The sequence below is a fragment of the Homo sapiens genome, chromosome 5 (genome assembly GCF_000001405.40).
Source record: "Homo sapiens chromosome 5, GRCh38.p14 Primary Assembly".
Taxonomy (NCBI): Eukaryota; Metazoa; Chordata; class Mammalia; order Primates; family Hominidae; genus Homo; species Homo sapiens.
The window spans coordinates 22,805,395-22,833,051 of record NC_000005.10 but is presented as its reverse complement, the minus strand read 5'-3'; the positions used below and the strand labels follow the sequence as shown (position 1 = coordinate 22,833,051).

General features: G+C 34.8%; 1 protein-coding gene across 5 annotated transcripts in view; it reads left to right on the top strand.

Annotated features, from left to right (window-relative positions):
- Positions 1-27,657, top strand: part of CDH12 (cadherin 12) — a 1,102,672-nt gene that overhangs the window by 20,293 nt on the left and 1,054,722 nt on the right. For 3 of the 5 annotated variants that reach the window (NM_001364106.2, NM_001364105.2, XM_047416602.1), the window contains exon 2: positions 22,343-22,435. The exons of the other annotated variants lie outside the window; for them this stretch is intronic. The gene's annotated coding sequence lies outside the window, so the exon portion shown is untranslated. The remainder of the gene's footprint in view (positions 1-22,342; positions 22,436-27,657) is intronic. 5 annotated transcript variants of the gene reach the window in all.

Genomic DNA, 27,657 nt, shown 5'->3' with positions numbered 1-27,657 from the left:
AACTTAAATTCATCACTGGCTGTAGAGCACTTGGCTGGGGAATATATATTTTAAGAGAAAATTTTGAATTTTGAAAATGAAATTTTTGCTGATTAAAAAGATGCTCATTTTAAAAATTTAAATAAAAACACCTGAATGGCGCTGAAGATGCATATCAGGTGTGAAAGGATAATTATCATTGATTTAGTAAGGACATTATTGGGCCTCTGAAGTGCAAGAGCAAAAATAATATTTGTATCAAAGATATTTGTTGGTGATTGAAATGTTTGCTCCTTCTCACAGTTGTTCCTAGTCTCCCACAAAACCACCTACTTGTCAAAGACTGAAATAAATTACAGAGTGAAGGAAAGAAACAGTAATATTTTTTAAAAAATCTTCCCATATGAAAAATATATTTAGAATATCTGTGTTATAATTAGATTTAAACTTTTAAAATACTTCTTTATCCTTATATATCTATTTCTTTCTGGCTTACTTCAGGGGTGTCTCTCATTGACACGTTGATAATAAACCTAATTCCCAGACCTCTCTGCGTATCTCACCCCATACATTTTCTCTGAGCAAAATCAACACTCTAATAATTTTAACAAGCGCTTATATTCAAAGTATTCCTGAATGGGCACCTAAAGCCGTGGCCAATTTCTTAAACTTCAGACTTTGCTGAGACAGAACAAACTTGTGACACCGTTACTCCCATCCTCCCAATATTTACAGATATATTGGCTAACGTTTTAATATGTTTACTTTATGTAAGGTACTATACTAAGTACTTTAACATACATTATCACAGTTAATGCTCCAATAATCTTCCAAGCAACTACATTTTCCATTCTGTATATGAAGGTGCCAAGTCTCAAAAAAGTTTGATGTCAAGGTCACAAAACTAATTAAGTGGAATAGCTGAGTTAGAAGCCAGTTGTTTCTGATGCCAAAGCCCATCCTTTTAGATATGATTTATAACTTTTTTTATTTTTATTCTAGTCAGTAATAACATCTCCCATTCAGTCATGAAAATCTGTGACTTGGAAGTGGCTTTGACCTTTTCTTCTTCACCAGTACCTGCCGAATCAAGATTAGATAAGTTGAATTCTAAGTACCTTTCAAAAATATTTCTATTTACTATTATTTTATGTGGATTTAATTTTTTTTTTGGGGGGGACAGAGTCTTGCTTTGTCACCCAGGCTGGAGTGCGGTGGTGCAATCTCGGCATACTGTAACCTCCACCTCCCAGCTTCAAGCAATTCTCTGCCTCAGCCTCCTGAGTAGCTTGGATTACAGGCGCTCGCCACCGCGCCCAGCTAATTTTTTTTGTATTTTTAGTCGAGACGGGGTTTCACCATCTCGGCCAGGTTGGTCTTGAACTCCTGACCTCGTGATCCACCCGCCTCGGGCTCCCAATGTGCTGGGATTACAGGTGTGACCCACCGTACCCGGCTGGATTTAATAATTTTTACTGCAAAATTAGTGACAGCCTAGTCTTCCTGGTTTTTGTTTTTATAATTTATATTTTGGAATATAGCTAATGTAATCTATCCAGGAGGAACTGGCCATATCCCTTCACTTGACATCCTCCATTTACTTCCTATAAAGTTTAAAGACCTAGACATAACACTCACCATGCTCTGTCTTGTACTTTTCCAGGCTCATTTGAAATACACACACACACACACACACACACAGACACACACACACACACACAAACTCCAAAACCCCTACCTTCCTTTGTCTCTCCTATTTCATTTCTCAGAATCATCTCAATTCTCTTTCACTAATTCACATTTATATTTGAATATTCTACTCAATCGTTTTCTTAGAAAACTTTTCTTGAGTTCTCCTCATCCTCCAAAAAAGTTTTTTCTTTATAGAAATATATATTTCTCTGCTTCCCCTTATTTCATATTATTCATTTTATTGATTTGTCTCTCAACTTAAACTATGAACATTTGAGAAAATCAGTAGGAACTGATTTATTCTTGAATCTCTCATCTTTTAATATTTGAATCTCAGAATATAGGATACAATAGGCACTAAATTATGCCTAAACTGATCTAAGATAGGCTTCATAAATTATATAAAATAGCTGATTTAAGAAAAGTTATGTTGATATGGTTAATGAGGAGTTTATGTTGTTTCATTTTTTAGCATATTTAAGTTTGTTATCAGTGTTTAATATTAATCATATATATTATGTAATAATGATTCAGAAAATTATAGTGCACATACATTTAATAGAGAAGTGAATAATTTTCTTTCTCTCTAATGGAATATATTAAAATTAAGTTAATATAATAAAATAATTGGACTTAGATTTTAAAATCAAATTTGATGATGTTTTACATGAAATTCAATTCTAAAGGCAATTTGAAAAATGATACATTATCTCTTTCTAGGAATCAGAAAATAATTAGAAACAGAAAATATAGAAAGATGTATATATATGTACACACACAGAAGAAAACTATATAAAAAGGAGAGCACGTAACTATTTGATTTGAAAATAAGGGAGAACTTCAAAAGCAGAAAGTGCCTCCTTTTTCTAATTATATATATTAATTATAACAGATCATTAGGGGGAATATCATCATTTAAAAAATATCCAGATAACTCAAGTCAATACTCTGATTAGGGTTCATTCACAGTACAGGATAATATTCATGAACTATGCTGTAATGAAATTATTATTGGCATATATATACATGTATACATACATAAATTGCTAATTTTAGGGTTTTTATAAATATGTAAATATTAACCATGTTATTTTCATATACCTATTAGAAATACATTAAACAAAACTTTTCTTAAACAATTTAATTGTCTAATCCCATCTTTAGAATAGATGAAAATTTTGTCTTGTGATTCACATGACGGAAATTCATGTTTCACCTTTCTTACCATGAAATAGATTAATTAGCCAGGTTTATTCATCCTTTTGATGATATCGCCTGAGGAAGACATTCATTTTATAGCAAAAGTAGGCTTTGATTTAGCCTTTTAAAAAATCATTTAGCCTTTAGTAGTGATGTGTGATATAATGAAAATATTATATAACCTAATATCTGGTACATATGTTTTATGCTGACATAAATACAAAAGGAAAACCACTAACGTTAAAAAGCTGTGGTTTTTCAGGTTCATCTGTAAGTCACCTACTGTCATAATATTGCTGTATCATAGACCATCCACAACCAACTTTTATTCTCATGCTCAGGTGTGTCTACCAGTTAACTGTGGTTCCACTGATGAAGAGTAGCCTTTGCTGGACAACTTTGTCTCAGGCTCTGGTCAGCAAGAGTAAGGTCATTGTCAATGTATTTATTCTGGGGATGCATAAGTGGCAATGACTACTTGGGGTAGAAGTATCTCATTGTGAGAACAGAAATAGAAAAGGTCCACGCCAAAGTGAATATGAGCATTTCACATGTCTGTTCTCTTCAAGGTTGCCAATATCACATTAGGCAAACAAGACACATAGCCAAGCCTCAGTTAAAGCCAAGCCTCAGTTAAACTGTGGCACTCCTCCTATCAGTAGACCAAGACAAGACTGCGATTGTGTAATTTTCACACAATGGATGAAATAACTGGGACCACTAATTCAATCCATCAAATCCTTTCAGTATCTTGTGTAGGTAATGTAAAATAACAGCCACCTCAGATTTCTTATCTATAAAATATCGTGTATCTTGAGGGTGATAGAAATATTTGCAAGATATTGTAAAGTATATGAGATAGCATTTATAGAGTGTCAAAAAGTTTTGAGGTTGCATGACTCTAAAAAATATTAAACTGCAGATAGTTAACTAAGTTGTCCCAAGTCCTCCAGTTAGTATAAGACAGAAACATAATTTAAATCTACTCATGTCTGAATTAAAAATTTGTCATTTTCCTCACTATAGTATGCCTCCATTTTTCCCCAATAACTCATCTATTATTAGAAGTTATTCTATGGAAAATGAATTATGAAATTGACCAAACTTCCTTCAGTTTATTCAATAATGAGAATCAAACTCCTTTTGAGGCTGCCACTTTGACCTTCAGAAAAATTGAAAATTATCTTTGTCTAACTTTTTTTGCTATTCTTTATTTGAGCCCAGGAAAATATAGAAAATAATAACTTTTCCATTAGCATATGTGAGTAATCAATAAAATACCTGTTAAGTGAATGGAGATATGAATGAAAATATATATATAAACATACAACTATCATGTTCACCATCCCTGACATCTTAATCAATGCTTCGAACAAGTCTTCATGTACATCATTCCTGTCATATTGCTCTGCCTAAAATTACCTGTATTTCTGTGTACTTGGAGAAGCCATTGATTTTCTAGCACGCACAGAATACAATGAGAATCATGATATCCATCCATGCAAGATATTATAATCCAAACAACTTTCTCTTGGGTCACATTAGTTTAATGATCACTATAAATATTTATTCCTTCAGCGGACTTTATTCTTAGGTCTTTTCCACCACACGCTGTTATTGGATTCAGTCACTGAGATCTGCTTTTCAATTTATTTCAGGTTGTTAACTATCCCTTCCTACTTCGTGTCAACCAGAAGTATGTATATAACCTTTAACTTGGATATGTAGATTAGCATTTAAATAGAATATGGTCAATGGCAGATCCCAGTGACATTTTTAAAGTAATGCCTATCAAATTTTTTTATCCAAAACCAGCATCATTTTGATAAGACCATTTGTTCAGTCTACAATTACCTAATTAAAAATATATTTCCCCAATATCTTTCCATTTTTTTGCTGATATATAACCTATAACCTATAATGATATTATTTATAGACAATTCTTTCTTCTCAGATTCACTGAACCATAAACCTTTTGATCCATTTAGGGTAAGGGTTTGCACTTATTTCCACCTGCTGCCATGTAATTGTTATGTATTTTCTAATCAGATTATTTGCCCTTTTCATATGCTACAAGTTATTTCTGCCTCTGGATCCCACAATGAAACCGTATAATCCAAATGCGGTAGTCTTCTCCAGATTATAGGACTTTCTCAGTTCTATAAATGAGGAACTTTAGAACAAATGCCCATATTATTTTACTTTTTAAATAATTTTTATTAAGTATTTAGTAGACAAAAATGAGTGCTTGTTAACAATATGCTAAGCCCAATGAATAAGAACTCAAAGAAGAACAGAATAAAATTAGTATTATTAATTTTGAAGTACCCTGAGCACTCATTGCAGTTTCCATCCCTTCATTCCTGCTTTAAAGGCAGTTAATATTGTGAACTTTGAGGTTATCATTCTCTTACTTCTTTACAGTCTTAAAAAATGTCTATTACCTTAACCAATATACTATTTCAGTTTTAAGTTCTTTGGATTTACATCAATGATTAATGCCATGTATACTATTCTGAGATGCACACGTACAGTTAAGAAAGGCAAGATGTTGTCAACATGAAGAGCCTGGCCTCAGTGGGCAGACTACCTAGGTTTGACTCCTGGCTCCTGTATCTATCAGCAAATTATATAACTTGTTTTGTGCTTCAATGTGGTGCCCCAGTAGGGAGTCTTTGTGGGGGCTCCCACCCCCGTTTCCCTTCTTCACTGCCCTAGCAGAGGTTCTCCATGAGGACCTCTTTACAGTCTTATAAATGTTTCTTTATAGTCTTAAAAATGTCTATTACCTTAACCAATATATTATTTCAGTTTTAAGTTATTTGGATTTACAACAAAGATTAATGCCAGGTGTACTATTATGCCTGGGCATCCTGACATTTTCACACATCTGAAATCTAGGCGGAGACCTCAAGTCTTGAATTCTGTGTACTCGCAGGCTCAACACCACATGGAAGACGCCATGGCTTAAGGCTTGCACCCTCAGGAGCCACAGCCCGAGCTCTACATTGGCCCATTTCAGCCATGGCTGGAGGGGCTGGGACTCAGAGCACCAAGTCCCTAGGCTGCACACACAGGGAGACTCTGGGCCCAGCCCAGGAAACCACTTTTTTTCTTAAACCTGTGGGCCTGTAACGGGAGGGGCTGCTGCAAAGGTCTCTTACATGTTCTGGAGATATTTTCCCCATTGTCTTGGGAATTGACATTCTGCTCCTCGTTACTTATGCAAATTTCTGCATCCAGCTTGAATTTCTCCTCAGAAAATGGGATTTTCTTTACTATTGCATTGTCAGACTGCAAGTTTTCCAAACTTTTATGCTCTGCTTTCCTTATAAAACAGAATGCCTTTAACAGCTCCCAAATCACCTCTTGAATGCTTTGCTGCTTAGAAATTTCTCCCTCCAGATACCCTAAATCATCTTTCTCAATCTCAGATTTCAACAAATCTATGGGCAGGGGCAAAATGCCACCAGTCTCTTTGTTAAAACATAGTAAAAGTTACCTTTGCTCCAGTTCCCAACAAGTTCTTCATCTCCATCTGAGACCACCTTAGCCTGGACCTTATTATTCACATCACTATCAGCATTTGTGTCAAAGCCTTTCAACAAGTCTCTAGGAAGTTCCAAACTCTCCCACATTTTCCTGTCTTCTTCTGAGCCCTCCAAATTGTTCCAATCTCTGTCTGTTACCCAGTTCCAAAGTCGCTTCCACATTTTTGTGTACCTTTTCAGCAGTGCCCTACTCTACTGGTACCAATTTACTGTATTTATCTATTTTCATGCTGCTGATAAAGACATGCCAGAAACTGGGCCATTTACAAAGGAAAGAGCTTTAATGGAGAAGTCACATTTCCACGTGGCTCAAAATCATGGTGGAAGGCAAGGAGGAGCAAGTCACATCTTACATGAATGGCAGCAGGCAAAGAACGAGCTTGTGCAGGGCAACTCCCATTTTTAAAACCATCAGATCTCATGAGGTCCATTCACTATCATAAAAACAGCACAAGAAAGACCCAGCCCCATAATTCAATCATCTTCCACCATGTCTGTCCCACAATACATGAGAATTATGGCAGCTACAAGATAAGATTTGGGTGGGGACTCAGAGAGCCAAACCATATCACTTCCTGAGTTGACTATGTCCTCTAGTACACTGGCCAATGGAAATGAGATTACTTTGACTCTTGCTAGAACTTATATGCTTACTGGTTATTCCACTAATTCATCAATTAGTGAATGACATGTGTCCTAAAATATATATGCAGACTGACTAATTATCAGCATCTACACTGACTCAAGTTACCACCATTCTATTTCTAGGTATTTGCAAATTTCTCCCTTCTGCCCTTTGCCACCAGTATTTGGTCTTTAACACAACTCCTAGTTTGATCTTCCCAATAGGAGAGTTGGGTCATATCACTACACAAGTCTGCTGAAAACTCTCCAGTGGCTTCACATTGCATTCTGAGTACAAGCCAATTGTGTACAGAGGACTTACAATGTTTTAGAACACTCCACATGATCTACCCTTGCCTGACTTTTTTCTCTGCCCTAGTTCCCTACTAATCTTCCCCTTAGTCATTGATCCATGTTTTTACTTACTCACTCACATTTGGCCAAGCAGCCTTTGCTGTTTCTTAATCAAACCAGACAAAATCCCAATTCAGGGCTTTTGTGCTTTTTGCTATTTACTCTTCCAAGAACATATTTTTATCAGATATTTGCTTGGCTTACTCTAACTTTCTTCGGATCTTTATTTAAATATCATCTTCTCACTCAGTAAGACTTACCTTGCTCACTCTACCATCCTATCTAAAATTGTAAGCCTAACCCACATTTAATAAATCTTTCCCAGACATTATTTAATGTATCTAATTTGTTGTCTCCTTTTTCTAAAAAATTATATATGTGTAAGTATATATATGTACATTTGTACAAATGTACACACACACACATACCCACACCAAAAAGACAGAGGGTATTTTTTAATTTTGTTTCTTGCTATATTATCAGTGTCTAGAACTACACATGGCTCCTAGTAAACATTAATAATAGCTTTTGTGTGAATGGATTAAGAAATAAATGAATGGGTAAATGAATGCGTGATTGTAGAGATATCTCTATTTCTTTGTATAATTATTCTGTGACCCTTTTTATCTTTGGTAATACAGTTTTTCTCACAAGCCTTTTTGAATTTATTAATGTCACAACAAATTATTTTGTTAGTATTTTCTTTTATATATAAATATATGTATCCTTTAACTTTCTATAGATATATAAATTTTGGACAAACATATATATATAAATTTTGGACACACATATATATTAATTTTGGATATGCATCTTGTAAACATAAACTAATGCTATTGTTGTTATGTTGTTTAAAATACAATCTGACAATCTTAGACTGTAACTGCTGACATATTTGAATTTTTTTCTCTATCTTATTTTGTAATTTTTATTTATTAAATATTTGCAAAGTTTATTCATGTCTACTTCTTTACTTTTTATTTATTTCTTTTAAGATAGATTTGGTTGCTGTACTTTAGAATTTTTAAAAATCCCTGACTATTTAATGCTTATGTTGGTAATTTATCATGCACATTTATGAATGTCTAAAGACATTCTATATGTTTATCCTCCTCCTGAGAAATACAAGGTTTTTAGACAACCTCACTACTGATCATATTGGATTTTTATTTATTTATATGTTATTTACATTTATAAAAACACTTTCACATGCTTACTCATTTGTATGTGTATGCTTTTCATATACAAATTTTGTGAGAAATTTCCCCCATATTTGCAAACTTAATTGCTAATAATTTTTTCTTGTATGTAAAATATTTCATCTGGATCATCCATTTTTCATCTTAAATATATGCTTGAGAATTATATTTGGGAGGGTTTGACAGTTACACACTCAGTTTCTGTGTGCTTGAAAATATCTTTGTTTCACCATTACTACTGGTAAAGAATATTTTTGCTTTGTATACAATCTTTAGTTGACCATTTTCTCTACATGAATTGAAAATATTAGTCCATTGTCTTCTAGTTTCCATTGATGCTATGATTAGTCAGATGTAAGTCTAATTACAATCTCTTTCAAGGGATATATTTATGTTCTTGGAGTTATTATCTCTTTATCATTATTATATGAATTTATTTGCATTGGTTTCCATTTATTTTGATTGAGATTTATGTCACCTTTGGGTTATTTGAGTTAGTATTTGTATTAATTTGTTCTCACACTGCTATAAAGAACTTCCTGAGACTGGGTAGTTTATAAAGAAAAGAGATTTAATTGATGCACAGTTCTGCAAGGCTGGGGAAGCATCAGAAAACTTACAATCATGGCAGAAAGGGAAGCAGGCATGTCTTACATGGCAAAGAGAGAGCAAAAAGCCCTGGGGAAACTGCCATTTATAAAACCATCAGATCTCCTGAGAACTCCCCCTATTATCATGAGAACAGCATGGGGGAAACTGCCCCCATGATCCAATCACCTCCTGCCAGGTCCCTTTCTCAACACTTGGGGATTACAATTTGAGAAGAGATTTGGTTGGCGACACACAGCCTAACCATATCAGGATTTGTATTAGTATGTTTTCATGCGGCTAATGAAGACATACCCAAGACTGGGCAATTTACAAAGGAAAGATGTTTAATGAACTTACAGTTCCAAATGGCTGGGGAGGCCTCACAATCATGATGGAGGAGCAAGTGAGGTCTTACATGAGTGGCAGCAGGCAAAGAGAGAGATTGTGCATGGCAACTCCCATTTTTTTAAAAATTATTATTATACTTTAAGTTTTAGGATAGATGTGCACAATGTGCAGGTTTGTTACATATGTATACATGTGCCATGCTGGTGCGCTGCACCCATTAACTCGTCATTTAGCATTAGGTGTAACTCCTAATGCTATCCCTCCCCCCTCCCCCCACCTCACAACAGTCCCCGGAGTGTGATGTTCCCCTTCCTGTGTCCAAGTGTTCTCATTGTTCAATTCCCACCTATGAGTGAGAACATGCGGTGTTTGGTTTTTTGTCCTTGCGATAGTTTGCTGAGAATGATGGTTTCCAATTTCATCCATGTCCCTACAAAGGACATGAACTCTTCATTTTTTATGGCTGCATAGTATTCCATTGTGTATATGTGCCACATTTTCTTAATCCAGTCTATCCTTGTTGGACATTTGGGTTGGTTCCAAGTCTTTGCTATTGTGAATAGTGCTGCAATAAACATACATGTGCATGTATCTTTATAGCAGCATGATTTATAATTCTTTGGGTATATACCCAGGAATCGGATGGCTGGGTCAAATGGTATTTCCAGTTCTAGATCCCTGAGAAATGGCGACACTGACTTCCACAATGGTTGAACTACTTCACAGTCCCACAAACTGTGTAAAAGTGTTCCTATTTCTCCACATCCTCTCCAGCACCTGTTGTTTCCTGACTTTTTAATGATTGCCATTCTGACTGGTGTGAGATGGTATCTCATTGTGGTTTTGATTTACATTTCTCTGATAGCAAGTGATGATGAGCATTTTTTCATGTGTTTTTTGGCTGCATAAATGTCTTCTTTTGAGAAATGTCTGTTCATATCCTTTGCCCACTTTTTGATGGGGTTGTTTGTTTTTTTCTTGTAAATTTCTTTGAATTCATTGTAGATTCTGGATATTAGCCCTTTGTCAGATGAGTAGGTTGCGAAAATTTTCTCCCATTCTGTAGGTTGCCTGTTCACTCTGATGGTAGTTTCTTTTGCTGTGCAGAAGCTCTTTAGTTTAATTAGATCCCATTTGTCAATTTTGGCTTTTGTTGCCATTGCTTTTGGTGTTTTAGACATGAAGTCCTTGCCCATGCCTATGTCCTGAATGGTATTGCCTAGGTTTTCTTCTAGGATTTTTATGGTTTTAGGTTTAACAGGTAAGTCTTTAATCCATCTTGAATTAATTTTTGTATAAGGTGTAAGGAAGGGATCCAGTTTCAGCTTTCTACATATGGCTAGCCAGTTTTCCCAGCACCATTTATTAAATAGGGAATCCTTTCCCCATTGCTTGTTTTTGTCAGATTTGTCAAAGATCAGATAGTTGTAGATATGCAGCATTATTTCTGAGGTCTCTGTTCTGTTCCATTGATCTATATCTCTGTTTTGGTACCAGTACCACACTGTTTTGGTTACTGTAGCCTTGTAGTATAGTTTGAAGTCAGGTAGCGTGATGCCTCCAGCTTTGTTCTTTTGGCTTAGGATTGACTTGGCAATGCAGGCTCTTTTTTGGTTCCATATGAACTTTAAAGTAGTTTTTTCCAATTCTGTGAAGAAAGTCATTGGTAGCTTGATGGGGATGGCATTGAATCTATAAATTACCTTGGGCAGTATGGCCATTTTCATGATATTGATTCTTCCTACCCATGAGCATGGAATGTTCTTCCATTTGTTTGTATCCTCTTTTATTTCATTGAGCAGTGGTTTGTAGTTCTCCTTGAAGAGGTCCTTCACATCCCTTGTAAGTTGGATTCCTAGGTATTTTATTCTCTTTGAAGCAATTGTGAATGGGAGTTCAGTCATGATTTGGCTCTCTGTCTGTTATTGGTGTATAAGAATGCTTGTGATTTTTGTACATTGATTTTATATCCTGAGACTTTGCTGGAGTTGCTTATCAGCTAAAGGAGATTTTGGGCTGAGACAATGGGGTTTTCTAGATATACAATCATGTCATCTCCAAACAGGGACAATTTGACTTCCTCTTTTCCTAATTGAATACCCTTTATTTCTTCCTCCTGCCTGATTGCCCTGGCCAGAACTTGCAACACTATGTTGAATAGGAGTGGTGAGAGAGGGCATCCCTGTCTTGTGCCGGTTTTCAAAGGGAATACTCCCAGTTTTTGCCTATTCAGTATGATATTGGCTGTGGGTTTGTCATAGATAGCTCTTATTATTTTGAGATACATCCCATCAATACCTAATTTATTGAGAGTTTTTAGCATGAAGCGTTGTTGAATTTTGTCAAAGGCCTTTTCTGCATCTATTGAGATAATCATGTGGTTTTTGTCTTTGGTTCTGTTTATATGCTGGATTACATTTATTGATTTGCGTATGTTGAACCAGCCTTGCATCCCAGGGATGAAGCCCACTTGATCATGGTGGATAAGCTTTTTGATGTGCTGCTGGATTCGGTTTGCCAGTATTTTATTGAGGATTTTTGTATCAATGTTCATCAAGGGTATTGGTCTAAAATTCTCTTTTTTGGTTGTGTCTCTGCCAGGCTTTGGTATCAGGATGATGCTGGCCTCATAAAATGAGTTAGGGAGGATTCCCTCTTTTTCTATTGATTGGAATAGTTTCAGAAGGAATGGTACCGGTTCCTCCTTGTACCTCTGGTAGAATTCGGCTGTGAATTCATCTGGTTCTGGACTTTTTTTGATTGGTAAGTTATTGATTATTGCCACAATTTCAGAGCCTGTTATTGGTCTATTCAGGGATTCAACTTCCTCCTGGTTTAGTCTTGGGAGGATGTATGTGTCGAGGAATTTATCCATTTCTTCTAGATTTTCTAGTTTATTTGCGTAGAGGTGTTTGTAGTATTCTCTGATGGTAGTTTGTATTTCTGTGGGATCGGTGGTGATATCCCCTTTATCATTTTTATTGCATCTATTTGATTCTCTCTCTTTTCTTCTTTATTAGTCTTGCTAGCGGTCTATCGATTTTGTTGATCTTTTCAAAAAACCAGCTCCCATTTTAAAAACCATCAGATCTCATGAGACTTATTCACTATCATGAGAACAGTACAGGAAAGACCAGACCCCATGATTTGATCACCTCCCACTGGTTCCCTCCCACAACACATGAGAACTCACGATGAGATCCGGTTGGGGACAAAACCAAACCATATCGGTGTTGTTTATCATTTCTGAAAAATTAAGACACTACTTTTCAAATATTGTCTCTGCCTGTGTTTTTTTATTCCCATTAATTTCTGGAACTCCAATTATTTTTAACCTTTTTCATTTTTAATTTTTTGGTCTTACTGTGAAGCATTGGATATAATTTAGTAATTTTTTTAATGAAATTTCTGTTCAGCTATGTATGAACTGCTATTAAACCCACTGCCTTTTAGGTCTCAATGTATATGTATATATATGTATATGTATATATATGTATATATATGTATATGTATATATATGTATATGTATATATATGTATATGTATATATATGTGTATATATATACACACATACATACACACACATCTATATAAATATATATTTAAATATCTAGATATCTTATATCTGGATATAAATATATATATTTAAATATCTGGATATCTTCTATCTGGATATAAATATATATTTAAGTATCTGGATATCTTAATTTTATTTTGGTTTTCTGTTTTTTCTATGACCATTTATTCTGATTTTGAGTTCATTTTTATATTTTTAAACATTAAGCATGTATTTTGTATTGCGTTTGATAATTTCACATTTGTTACATGTCTTATTCTCTTGTGCTAGCTCACTTATGGTCATTTATTTTCTGATGTGGGTGTATATGTATTTCTGATATTTTTATCTATGATCTTGTATATCTTTCAACATTAAATGTATGATTTCTCTTAGATTTGTGTTTGCATAGCTTTTTTCCAAAGGAAATTTGCATTTCTTTTCTGGATGTCTAATGGAAGTTGTAGCCCAGAATATTTTAAATAAATTCTTAATTGTTGATTTTTTGAGTTGCCCACTTTACTTTAGGTAGAAATATATATGAAGGGTGCCTTTGTTTACCTATTTAAGATATATTTCTTTTCCTTTTTTTTTAAATTTTTAACTTAGCTTCATGTCTCAAGACACTATTCACTGCTAAGTCCCAAGTATTGAGTTAATTTGCAGTTTTCTCTGTTGTAAAAATGGCATGCCTGTCAGACTTTTCATCTTGAGCAGGATCACTTTGTCACCTGTTCCTTTAGTCCTATGACAATGAAAAACAGATTTAAGTTTACCTGCGTCAGCAATAGCAGCAGGGAGAATGCTAATTCGATTTTATGCTTACATACCACATAGTTATTGGCCTTTGGTTCTTTAACTTTTTCTCCAACACACTGATTCATTTTTCAGATTTTTTAATCAAAAATTTTAAATTTATTTTTATTAAGTGGGTCAGTCAGTGTTCCTGAACTACCATACTACAAAAATAGATGATAAACAATTACCTTGAAACCAAACTCTTCTCTCACAAAACACATATTATTTACATCCAGTTGACAGAGTATGCACACAAAACACATATTATTTACATCCAGTTGACAGAGTATGCATACATAACTACTGAAACTAAATAACTAGCAATATGTTAGCTCTTTGAAGCAACCAATGGATTTCCTTTTCTAGGCATATTTCAGAAACAACCCCAAGGTACTTTGAAACCTCACTTACCTATTGCCTGTGATTAAGTCTCTGGTGGCAGAAAGATATACTTACTTGGTCAGCCTTGCTTAATCTCTCTCCAACTATTAAAATCATTGACATGCTTAATTTTTGTAAGTTAAAGTATGACATACTTAAGCAGAATCATTGTTTTAAATATTTAGATTTTTAAGCATCCTTTATGTCAAATGATGTCATTGCTTGTCCCTCTTCATGCCACCATCTTGAAGAATAAACAAACAGACTATTTGCACACAAACACACATACATACATATAAAACCTAGGGAAAATAAGCACACTGTTTTATAAGAAAATTTCTTGGAGGCAAGTGAAAGGGATGGAGGAAGATGAGAATGAATGAATGGCAGAGATAGTGGGTGGAGGGAAAGCTGTGATGTATAATACACCATGTGAAACAAATGAAACCATTTGGTAGGGAAAAGCATGATAGAGCAAAATCTGACAGAAAAGTAGAGCTGTCTAGGATGTGAGATAATGAGGAAGAGATGCCAGGTCTGGACTTTGTAGTGTCTTGTATGGCTTCCTTTGCAGTGTGTACTTAAAGCCTCACCAAGACAGCAATGACTACTCTATTTGAAAATCAACCATGTTGGACAGGACGAACTGGTATTTGCAGAAGGCCCTTGATTCTGGTCTGGCTTCCTGATCTTTACAAGGCATTGTTGAATGTATGCCATGCTTTGCTGCAGTTTGATTTTTATATTCTATTTTTAAGTACGACCCACACACTACACAACCCTTCCACTTTTTATTCTCCAATACTTTTCACTTTTCATGGTCCACAAAATCTATTTTAGGGTTTACTTGGAATATAACTAACGGCATGCCTAAAATAAAATTCAGATGAACAATCCAAAAATTTGAGAATACCAAATTTATACTTTACAATTCTTCTTTGAAAGAAAAAGAGTTGTATTGCCAGTATTGCCTCCCTACAGAATGCATTGGGGATTCTTAAAGGCATCAAGCCATTTACTTTTAACAGCTCTTGCCTATTAGTCAAATAATTATTGGCCTGAATAGAAATAAGGAATTATATTGAAATTATGATGCATAGTTTTTCTGTTCTTCCCAATGAACAAATTTAAAAGTCAAGATTGGATAGATTTTTGAATAGAGTCAAAGATAAATCAGCCAAGTAATTAAATCAATATAACTCAGTATAGAAATTAAATGAATATGTGTATAACTATAATTATCAGTTATAAATACACAATTATATACAACAAACTACATTAAAATTTAACTGGCAATTATTTGCCATCTATATTTTTATAATCAACAGATGTTTTAATTACCTTTTCATGTAATTTAAATATTTGTAAGTCAAATTATTGAAATTTTTAGTTTGATGCTATCAGTGTCTCTGATGAATTTGAAGAAAATATATGATCTTTCAAATAATATCATTTTTAAACAATTTTAAGTAGTAAATAATGTGAGAAACATAATTTTTTACTAAAGTACATTCATGATTCTGACAAATTTTCTACATTGTATATCTTAATGACTAAAACCACACTTTGAATAATTTGATGATTAGATACGGAAAGTGAGACAAAAGGAGCTTCATTATATAATACATTTCTAATATGAATAAAATACATTTGGAAACCTGAACAGAAATATTACGACTAGTAATAGCATTTTCGTTATCTAGAGATCACCCTAAGGAGAGGCTATTGAGAGGTATAGGGAGATCAATTTAGATGTGAGTTAGAGAATTTTAATTTGAAAAGTGTGCTGTTCTAAGTAGTAATGTTGAGAAGACAGAAGAAAATAAATGATTCAAGTTGTTATGGAAGGGTTTTCCTCAGGAATCACTAATCATATCTACTTCTTTCCTATGTATGTGGCAAATACATAAAGATATGCTGGTTTTTTATATGAGTTTGCTGCTGTTAGAGAAAATCCTCTACCCAAATATCAGTGGATAGACACACAGAAATTTACCTCCCACTGACTTAAAGTGTGGGTTAGATTGGACCAAATGAGTTCATTCTGGGACTCAGGCTAATAATGAAGGCTCTGCCATAGCTGTATTAGCTAAAATGTTCCCAATTTGTTGTCATGGGTCATACCTAATCAATGCTAAAAGTGGTTGGAAACTTAATATGTTAAATTATCTTCTTTTGCAGGGCAGCAAGTAAATGGTTTTACTCAATGGTAGCTAAATTGGCTTAGTCATCCAAGAAAAGTAGATACTTTCCTCTATGGTTCATGTCAAGACTGAAAAATTGATCTTTACTGGGATGCTTGCTGAAATATTCCCATTTGCCTTTTCAGTCTCATTGATTAGGGAAGCTCTCTGCATTGAAGAAATCTAGCTAGATATATTATAGAGATGCAGGAAGAAATTTGGCAGTCTAGGAAGAAATAGACCTGTAAGCTTTACGGACTAGCCCTTGGTTTGAATCTGTCAGGATTCCTCTGGAAAGTTGATTAACTTCCGGTGCCTCAATTCTTTCTTCTGTTCATTGGTGATAATAACAGAACCACTTTTCACAAAGAAGTAAAAATCAACCTCGTTCAAGTTTTATAATTTAAGCAAATTTTCAAATAAGGAAATAGCTTTCAAGTAATATTAGTAAGAGAGGAAAAAAGTTTACTTGCTGAAGCCTGGCCCCGAAAATAAAGCTGATTTTATGCTATACAAATTCTGGTTCTGGTAAGAACCAAGTAAAATCGCTGCATTCATAATGGTGGTATTGCCATTGCCCTTTCTGCCCTAAGCTCTAGCCACACAGTACTTTCTTCAAGTCTTTTAACACATTTCACAATTTGCCTTCTTTTTTTTCAAACCTAGAACATAATTAATTTTTCTTCTAATGCTATAACCCACTTAATTTCTTCTTTCTCTTTCAAGTAGCAGTTTACATGTATTTTCCCCTTAGAGGCTCTCTTTCACCGGTAGTATGTTTTCATGTTTTTTTATTTTTATTATTTATTTATTTTTTTTTTTTTTTTGAGACGGAGTCTCCTTCTGTCACCCAAGCTGGAGTGCAGCAGCATGATCTCAGCTCACTGCAAACTGTATCTCCCAGGTTCAAGCGATTCTCCTTACTCAGTCTCCTGAGTAGCATGGACTACAGGTGCCCACCACCATGCCCGGCTAATTTTTGTATTTTTAGTAGAGATGGGGTTTCACCATGTTGGCCAGGCTAGTCTCGAACTCCTGACCTCAGGTTATCCGCCCCCCTCAGCCTCCCAAAGTGCTGGGATTACAGGTGTGAGCCACTGCGCCCGGTCCATGTATTCTATTTCTATAGATCTCTCCATTTCCACTTTTCTAATATGCATTATTCTTCATTGCCATTACTTGTTGAAATTTGTATCTCCTTTCTCTACTGTAGTCTACACAAAGGGAGAGATTTCATAAGTAATGTTCATTGTTACATCTCTACTTTCCATGCCTCTCGGGTAATAGATACGAGTATAGGAGAGCATCAAAAGAAAGAATAATCCACTTAACTTCTACTGTACAAAATATGCCCAAATTCAACCATATGCATTACATTTTTTTTTCTTTGTGCAACCTGCTTCACTTGTGGTGAGTTACATCTTGTCCCCTCTTTGCTGAACAAGAGTTGCATGTGATCATCGCCAACTAATTCCAGGATCTAATACCCATCTTTCTTGGGATGGCTTTTATTTTCTCCTTCCTAGGCAAAAGTTGAACCCTCTCTTCTATGCCAGAAACACTGGGTGCACAGTTAATATTTTCGGACAAGCTTGACATTTCTAATATTTTATTTCTTCATCTTTTTATTTTCTCTTCTGAAGCTATCTGAAAGAAGATTATGTACAATTTGTCAAAGTTTTCGTGTTACTTATAGTTAAGAAAAAACTCCTTTTTAACAAATGCCACTCATTTATACATACTCTTTATTTTACTTAAATATTTCAATGATCTATTAATCATTGTACATGGTATGTTTTAAAATTAGACTTATCAAATTACATATGACATCTCTGTAGTTACACCAAGTGAAAAAATATCTGAAAACAGTTAATAGCTATGTTCCGAAAACATATTAATAAGCACAATAGATGAAGAAATGGCTGAACATAATTATACTTAGCTACAAATACAACTAAAAATTAACTTCAGAGCTTTTTTTCAGATTGTATTCACCCTAAGTTATTCTTTAAGAATAGATTGATTTTACATCTATTGAAATATAAAATTATTTTCTAAATAATAGATCAATGAATTAGGACATGTGCGTGGCATTTATGAATTGTCCTATTAATGTCAAAGCAGAGATATCCATTCAAAGCAGAGGATTCATCAAGCTGATTAATCTTTGTGTAATGTTTTTATCTTTGTTCCTACAATGATTGAAATAGCAAGCACAAAATTTTTGTCTATTTAATATGTAGTTGTTATAAAAATTTTATTTTAGTTTCAAATTATCTTGGTGAGGCAGGCAAGACATTTAAATATGTGACTAAAACATATGTTTATTTTTGTCATTTCAAGTTGACTGATGGGGCAATCTCTGGTTTGATTCCCATCTGGTACTTTCTGTGGGCCAAGCATTTATAATATTTAATGTACCTAGATTATGTAAGACAAGAAAATGTCTTCATTTCCAGATATACTTTATTTTCAATGACTAAATCAACAAATACTCAAGTATTCCTCTTTATCTCTGCAAACAGTTTAATGTGAAAAAATAGACTTTTGCCAAACATATAATTTAGGAAAATGAGATTCTGAGATTGTCATTATTGCCTATTTTCCCTTAGCAGTGTTACCATGGACTTAGCATGTTAAAAAAATACAAAGTTATTGCCTCACAGTTTCTGTGGGTCAGGAGTCAGGGCATGACATAGCTGGGTCCTTTGCTGCAGAGTGTCAGAAAGCTGCAATCAAGATATTGGTGAGAGCTTCATTTTCATCTGAGGCTCGACCAGGGAAGATTCCAATTCTAAGTTCACAATGTGGTCAGCATCATTCATTTCCTTGTGGGCTCTTTGGTTTAGGGCCTTAGTTTTTTTGCAGTTGAGCAGTTGCCTAGAGTCTGCCCTCAGGTTCTTGCCATGTGAGCCACCCCGAGATGACTTTTAGCTTCCCAAAGGCCAACAGGGGAGAGTAAATCTCCTCAGAAATATTGCTTACAATTGTATGTAACATTATCACAGAAATGACATCCCATCACCTTCGCTGTACTATATCTAAAGCAAAATCCTTACTCTGCCCTCACTCAAAGAGAAGGGATCACCAAAGGTGTGGAAACCAGGATGTGAGATCATGGAGCATGGTAGTATTTTTTCACCACAGAGATGAAAAAGTAAGTTTTCATGGTGATAAAATGAGACGAAAGAAAAACTTTTCATAGCACAGGTTCTAAATGATAGGTAGGGTATTTCAAGATACAGCACTTATTATTAAACTTTAGTAAACCTGCAACTCTTTCAAAACACTTGCACTTCACCTCGTGGCCATAATTAAAATTTGGAATCTGTCCAAGATACTACACCTCTAGTTGTCCTTCATAATATAGGCTAATAATTGTCCCAGATCTCCCAGATCATAGAATCAAGAGGTTTTATTTACATCCTAGTAGCTGTATTTAATCATTTATAATCTTATACAAATTTTTTTTCAGTAGGTCGTGAGATCTTTTTCCTCAACCTGAATTTGAAAGCTGGACCTACTCCTGAATTTATAAAGAAATGTGGCTCCTGAATTGTTGTCTTATTTGCTATTCCTAAACCAGTTCCCAGCTAGGTCAGTCCAGAAACCTTGATGGTAACCCCTTCTGCAAGTCTCCTTGATCTCAGCGATCATTTCTTCACCTCCTCCTCAGTCCTCCAACCTCCTCAACTGCACACATCTCTTGAATACCAGTGGTCATTATGCTGTATTTCCCTCCGTTGCCTCTAGTCACAGATCATTTTTTGACTTCACCTTCTACTACACTCTCTTTGAAATAATGACATCTAAATCTGACTCACATAGGAACTGTAGTCAAATACTACAAAGTTTAATCAGTTTAGGTTTTTCTTTTCGCCAGACCCTTATGAGCCTGTTCTTCAGCTTACTTGAGACCTCCAGTTCTTTGAATCCTTGCTGCACTTTTCCCACACCCCCAAACATGAGGTTTTAGTTGGAGAATATACACAGATTTCTAAGACCTACTTTTTTCCTTGTCAGACTCAGACACTGTCACATACTGTCAGGGCCAGCTTCACAGGTTTGCAATCTGTAAACTTATGTAGGGCCTCACCCTCAAAAGGGACCCTGTACTTGGCTTAATGCTCTGCTATCCCAACTAGAATTCTTTATTGTCTCACCTTGGAATTTGTGTTTTATAAATGATAGCTAATGGGACAGTAGAGCATATGTGTTTGCAGAGGAGACGGACAGGGTGGTAGTGCACACCTGTATAGGCTCAGGCTTAATGATAAGTATTATGCCTTCCCTCAAAAAATATATATTCCCATCTAATTCTTATACTTAATCCTTATACTAGCACCTGTAATCCCAGCACTTTGGAAGGCTGAGCGGAGAGCCTCAGCTTTTAAGTATAATCCCTATGCTTGAAAGCACCTAAAACATACAATTTACAGAGAATAGAATACATTTTCATGATTTCATAATCTTATATGTCCAGTTCCACAGTTAAGCTCATCATTATCCTGATGAAAGCTGAGTCTACCTGAGATTCAGATTCCTTTAAAATCCAGCCCAATAAAAACAGGAGGTTGGCATAGATGTTTTTTTATTTGCCCCTAAAGAGCCAGTGTCCACTTTTCTCTGCCATGTTATTTCAGAAGGTCGACCTCTATGAACACCCTAGCTGTCTTCTCTAACTTCGATCTTTTCATTGAATGTGGTCAGGGAGAGGCCTGACAATAGGTATGGAGTTTTCCTTTCTGTGATCCCTTCTGTAGAAGTCACTGGTCTTATTCAAGTAGCCACTTCATAATTTCCCTCTTCTGAGTTTTAGCCGTTTCTCTCTCCTCTTATCCCTTTCAGAAAGTTTACACAATCCTGCTTTTACTAGCCCCAGGATCCTGCACTACCTGATGTAATTCGTTACCCAATCCCCATGCCTTAGTAAAATAGTTCCTTTTAAAATAAACATTTCTCAAACGATTCATAAAATACAGTGAAAGCATTTTCTTTTGTTAAGTCATCCCTGACATCCTTCATCTCTATCAGGTAGGAGTAACCACTCACATCTTTGCTTCAGTTGAGTTCCTCACACATGCCTCTATTTTATCACTGGGCAAATCACTGTAACACACCTGTAGGAAAACAAGGGTGGTATGACTATCAGTCTCTCAGCTCACAAAGCAACTTCCGCCACTGAATATCGTCTAATCTGCTTAGGGGCCTAGGTTCTCTCTTTCTGCTCACAATCCCCATACAGGGCATCTGTGGCCTATGATATTGTCTAAGTTGGGATTTGCAAATGATCAAGAATAGTGAATAGAAGATTAACCGCTGTGAAATCCCAAGACTATTGCCCTCGCTTTCCTCTTCTCTATATCCAGATGATCTCTCCTCTCTCCCAGTTTTCGTACTTCATGACTGTCCATCCAAATATATATGTGTGTGTGTATATATATATGTATATTTGGAAGCATATATGTGTATATATGTATATGTATATATACATATGTACATATACGTGTGTATATATGTATGTATACATATACGTATATATGTGTATGTATGTATATATTTATGTATGTACATATGTATATATGTGTATGTCTATATGTGTATGTATGTACATATGTATGTATATATGTAAGTATATATGTATATATGTAAGTATATATGTGTATACACACACACACACACACACACACATATATTTGTTTGTTTTTGTTTTTTGAGAGAAGGTCTTACTCTGTTGCCCAGGCTGGAGTACAGAGTACGATCATAGCCCACTGCACTCTCAAACTTCTGGGCTCAAGTGATCCTCTGCTTCAGCCTTCTGAGTAGCTGGTACATGCCTACATGCGTATACCACTGGCCCGGTTAATTTTGTTTTATTTTTTGACAGAGATGGAGTCTCAGTATGTTTACCAGACTTGTTTCTAACTTCTGACATCAAGCGATTCTTCCCCCTCAGCCTTCCAAAGTGCTGGGATTACAGGTGCGTGGCCCATTTTTATTTCTAATTGCTACCATCTTCTCTCACTCCTTCTCTAGGTTTTAGAGGGTAAAATGCTGCTAAGAATAACTCCATTTCCTTATTAAATTGAGGTATCCATTGAATGTTTGTTTCAACTTTAATGTTCACTGGGAGAATAAAAGTGTCCCTTGGAATATAAAAGTTAAAAAAAAATGATGTGAGAAACACGTAATGAACAATCTTTTAACAACTGGCAATTCAAACCCAACACATTTCTACATTTTATCTTCATTACTTGCCCTTAAACTTCCTATTGTTTAGGACTATGTTTTATCCACTTACGCATACTCAGAATTAGTGTGGATTTTTGGTGTGCTCGGTATATCTTTGTTGAATAAAATACTAAAATGATTATTAAAAACTTCTCATCACTAAAATCTGGAACTTGTCCCAAAGGCAGTTAATTTCCTTTGGACTTCAACATTATTTTTTCTACTGTTGTCACTGAATAAATACAAACTAATGATTTGGGAAATAAGAAACCTCATTTTGTTTCCCCTGGTTTTGTTATTTAGAGAAAGAGGAGAATAAAATATAGTGTTTTAAAATAAAAACAACATAGGTGTTAATTCAATCTATCACTATAAATGAGTTTTATAATACTAAAATACAATGGTGTAAAGTTTAAGCTAGGATACATTCTAGACTATCTTGAATTAATCTTGAATTAGTATATTTATTGGGTAAACTTTTCATATAACATTTTACACCATTTGAACTAGTAGATATTTTATTGATAATTTCACAGAAATATTTTCTCCTCTTACTCTATTAAAATACACCAAGTTATTAAAGTGTTTAGAAGCAGTATTTTTGGCTTAAAAAAAGAGGTTTTGTTTTTTTCCAGTATCAGAATCAATCCTGAAATGATATCTACCTTCTGCAGTTTTTAATGAAATATTTCCCTCTAACATTTTTTCTTGTTGGTAAAGTAGAACTATAGCTTCTAAAATTTGGTCTGCTAAATAAATCAATTTATTTTTTTAAATATTATATATTCTTATCCAGATAAGCCTGCCCATATTTGACTTTATTTAATATTTTAGGTTGAGCCTGGACTGTGTGAAGATATATATTTCTAAAATACAGATAAGCATATATTTAAAAGCATTTTATGAAAGGAATGTATCATATTATTTATTTATATTTATTTCTAGAATATGTTCTTTATAAGATCCCTATATTTTATATTTTATATAGGATTATATTGTTAGACTTGACAGAGAATAAGCATAAAATTATTCTATATTCATAAGTAAAAATATACTTTTGTCTGCTACCACATAACTCGTGATAGAAACAGATAAAGTTGTGATAACTTTCTCAAAATAGCAACTGACAATTTATATGCCTTAATGAATAAAATATAACTAAAATTTCTTAAATATATTTAAAAGTCTGCACTCAAAATTAGTCACCTCAGTCTCAATACTCAAATGATGTAACTGTAGGCTCATCAGAATTAATTTTATTACACAGTTTTTTTTTTTGCCTTCAACGAACTTTGAATAATTTATCTTACATTATTGTTTAGGCATTTCTGGTCTTTTATAAACTATCTCAAAATACAGCTACTTGCTTTAAAAGAATTAGCAAAACATTGCATATGCCCCTCAACCTGGTGGTAGAATATTTTCTGAAGACTTGGCTGTTAGAAAATTTATGTAAGTTGGCTGGGTGTGGTGGCACACCCCTGTAATCCCAGCACTTCAGGAGGCTGAGGCAGGCAGATCACAAGGTCAAGAGATTGAGAACATCCTGGCCAACATGGTGAAACCCCACCTCTACTAAAAAAAAAAAAAAAAAAAAAAAAAACCAGGTGTGGTGGGGTATGCCTGTAGTCTCAGCTACAGGCTGAGGCAGGAGATTCGCTTGAACCCGGGAGCAGAAGTTGCAGTGAGCTGAGATCGCACCACTGCACTCCAGACTGGCAACAAAGCGAGACTCCATCTCAAAAAAAAAAAAAAAAAAAGACAAGAAAAGAAAAGAAAATCTATGCAAGTTTATGATATTTAAAACAAATAGTTAAATTGCAGGCTGTTGTCTTTACTCCTAGTTCCATAAAATGTAATAAAATCTATACTAAAACAGGCCACTTGGTTTTACAGTACGTCCATTAAATTCTCATTTGACTATTTTTTCATCTCTAACAAAGTAAGCATTTAAAATTTTCTCTGAAAAAGGACTGTAAGGGTATCACTCATCTTTCTTATTCATCAAGCATGATTTGAGTTTATTATAGTATGTCACAAGCTAGGTTGTAAAGCAGTTTGGTCTCTAGCATTGTTCACCTCTGCATTCACTGATCTAATTGTGATCATTAGAGTATTAAGTATTTGAATGGGGAAAAATATAGAGTAGATAGCATGAGTGTAATTAATTCTAATAATGTTCAAATTGATTCCTCACATAATATAGACCACACTAAAGAATTGTATGTAGTCTTTTATGTAAATCAGTTCTTTGAAAATCATTTCATGTAAATGCAGTCATGCATGGCATAACAATATTTTGGTCAACAAGGTCCGCATATAGGACAGTGGTCCCATAAGATTATAATGAAGCTGAAAAATCCTATAATCCAGTGATGTCATAGCACAATTACTTTATTTTTTATACATTTAATTTTTTTTGTTTCTGTTTACAAATTGAATGTCCCATAAGTGTACAGTGTTTATAAAGTCTACATCATGTACAGTAATGTCTCAGGCCTTCACATTTACTTATCATTCATTCCTGACACCCAGAGCAACTTCAGGAACTGCAAGCTCCATTCATGGTGAGTGTTCTATACAGGTGTGCAATTTTTAATCTTATTTTGCTGTGCCTTTTCTATGTTTAGGTATGTTTATATACACAAGTACTTACCATTGTATTACAGTATTGTCTGCAGTATTCAGTACAGTAACATGCTGTACAGGTTTGTAGCCTAGGAGCAATAGGCTGTAACACATAGCCTAGGTATGTAGTGGGCTATACCATCTAAGTTCACATAAGTAAATTCTATGATATTTCCATGATGATGAAATTGCCTAATGATACATTTCTCAGAATATATCTCTGTCATTAAGCAGCACATAACTGTATACTGGAGTAGTATCTTTTAGTCTATTAAGATTTAAACATGTAGTTTATGAAAGAAGCTCCCTCTATTATTATGTCTTATATATGAGATTTAATTGGGTATGATATACGGATTAATAGTCTAAAAATGTATAAACAGTAATATGTGCAAGGATGCATTCAAAAGAAACTGAAATTGCAGAAAATAAAATATATAAATGCCATCTATCATCATATCCTTGAAAGATAATCACTGAAAATTCCAACATAATGACTATAATATTATTCCCATATGCATGCCACAATTATGTAAATATCTAACCTAATTAGAATTATGTTGCTCTATATAATTTTGTTTAGCCCTTTTCAGTCAAAATCTACTTTAGCATCTTACATATCTTGAAAAAGCCTAAAACCATAAAAACCCTACAAGAAAATCTAGGCAATACCATTCAGGACATAGGCATGGGCAAAGACTTCATGACTAAAACACCAAAAGTAATGACAACAAAAGCCAAAATTGACAAATGGAATCTAATTAAACTAAAGAGCTTCTGCACAGCAAAAGAAACTATCATCAGAGTTACTAGGCAACTTACAGAATGGGAGAAAATTTTTGCAATCTATCCATCTGACAAAGGGCTAATATCCAGAATCTACAAATAACTTAAACAAATTTACAAGAAAAAAACAACCCCATCAAAAAGTAGGCAAAGGATATGAACACACAATTCTCAAAATAAGACATTTTTGCAGCCAACAAACATATGAAAAAAAGCTCATCATCACTGGTCATTAGAGAAATGCAAATCAAAACCACAATGAGATAACATCTCACACCAGTTAGAATGGCAATCATTAGGCCGGGCGCGGTGGCTCATGCTTGTAATCCCAGCACTTTGGGAGGCCGAGGCGGGCGGATCACGAGGTCAGGAGATCGAGACCATCCTGGCTAACACGGTGAAACCCCGTCTCTACTAAAAATACAAAAAACATTAGCCGGGCGTGATGGCGGGCGCCTGTAGTCCCAGCTACTCGGGAGGCTGAGGCAGGAGAATGGCGTGAACCCGGGAGGCGGAGCTTGCAGTGAGCCGAGATTGCGCCACTGCACTCCAGCCTGGGCCACAGAGCGAGACTCCATCTCAAAAAAAAAAAAAAAAAAAGAATGGCAATCATTATAAAGTCAGAAAACAACAGACACTGGAGATGATGTGGGGAAATAGGAACCCTTTTACACTGTTGATGGGAGTGTAAATCAGTTCAACCATTGTGGAAGACAGTGTGGCGATTCCTCAAGGATCTAGAACCAGAAATACCATTTGACCCAGCAATCCCATTACTGGGTATATATCCAAAGGATTATAAATCATGCTGCTATAAAGACACATGCACACGTATGTTTATTGTGGCACTATTCACAATAGCAAAGACTTGGAACCAACTCAAACGCTCATCAATGGTAGACTGGATAAAGAAAATGTGCCATATATACATCAAGGAATACTATGCAGCCATAAAACGGGATGAGTTCATGTCCTTTGCAGAGACACAGATGAAGCTGGAAACCATCATTCTCAGCAAACTAACACAAGAACAGAAAACCAAACACCGCATGTTCTCACTCATAAATGGGAGTTGATCAATGAGAACACATGGACACAGGGAGGGGAACATCACACACCGGGGCCTGTCGAGGGGTGGGGGACTAGGGGAGGGATAGCATTAGGAGAAATACCTAATGTAGATGATGGGTTGATGGTTGCAGCAAACTACCATGGCACGTGCATACCTATGTAACAAACCTGCACGTTCTGCACATGTACCCCAGAACTTAAAGAATAATGATGAAAAGAAAGAAAAAGCTTTTGTAAAATAAACTTAAATGCTAAATGTTTGATGATTACTATTATGAAATATATTAACTTTACCCAAAAGGATATAATAATAATATGTAATATACATAATAAGGATCACAAATTAAGCAAACATATACTCAAACTCAGGTTTAAGATAGAAAATCAATACATTTTACACTTTCTATATACTATTTCTCAATTGAATTATAATCCTCTCTTTTAGATGTAATTATTATTCTTATTTTTTTAATTCCTTGAGGTATT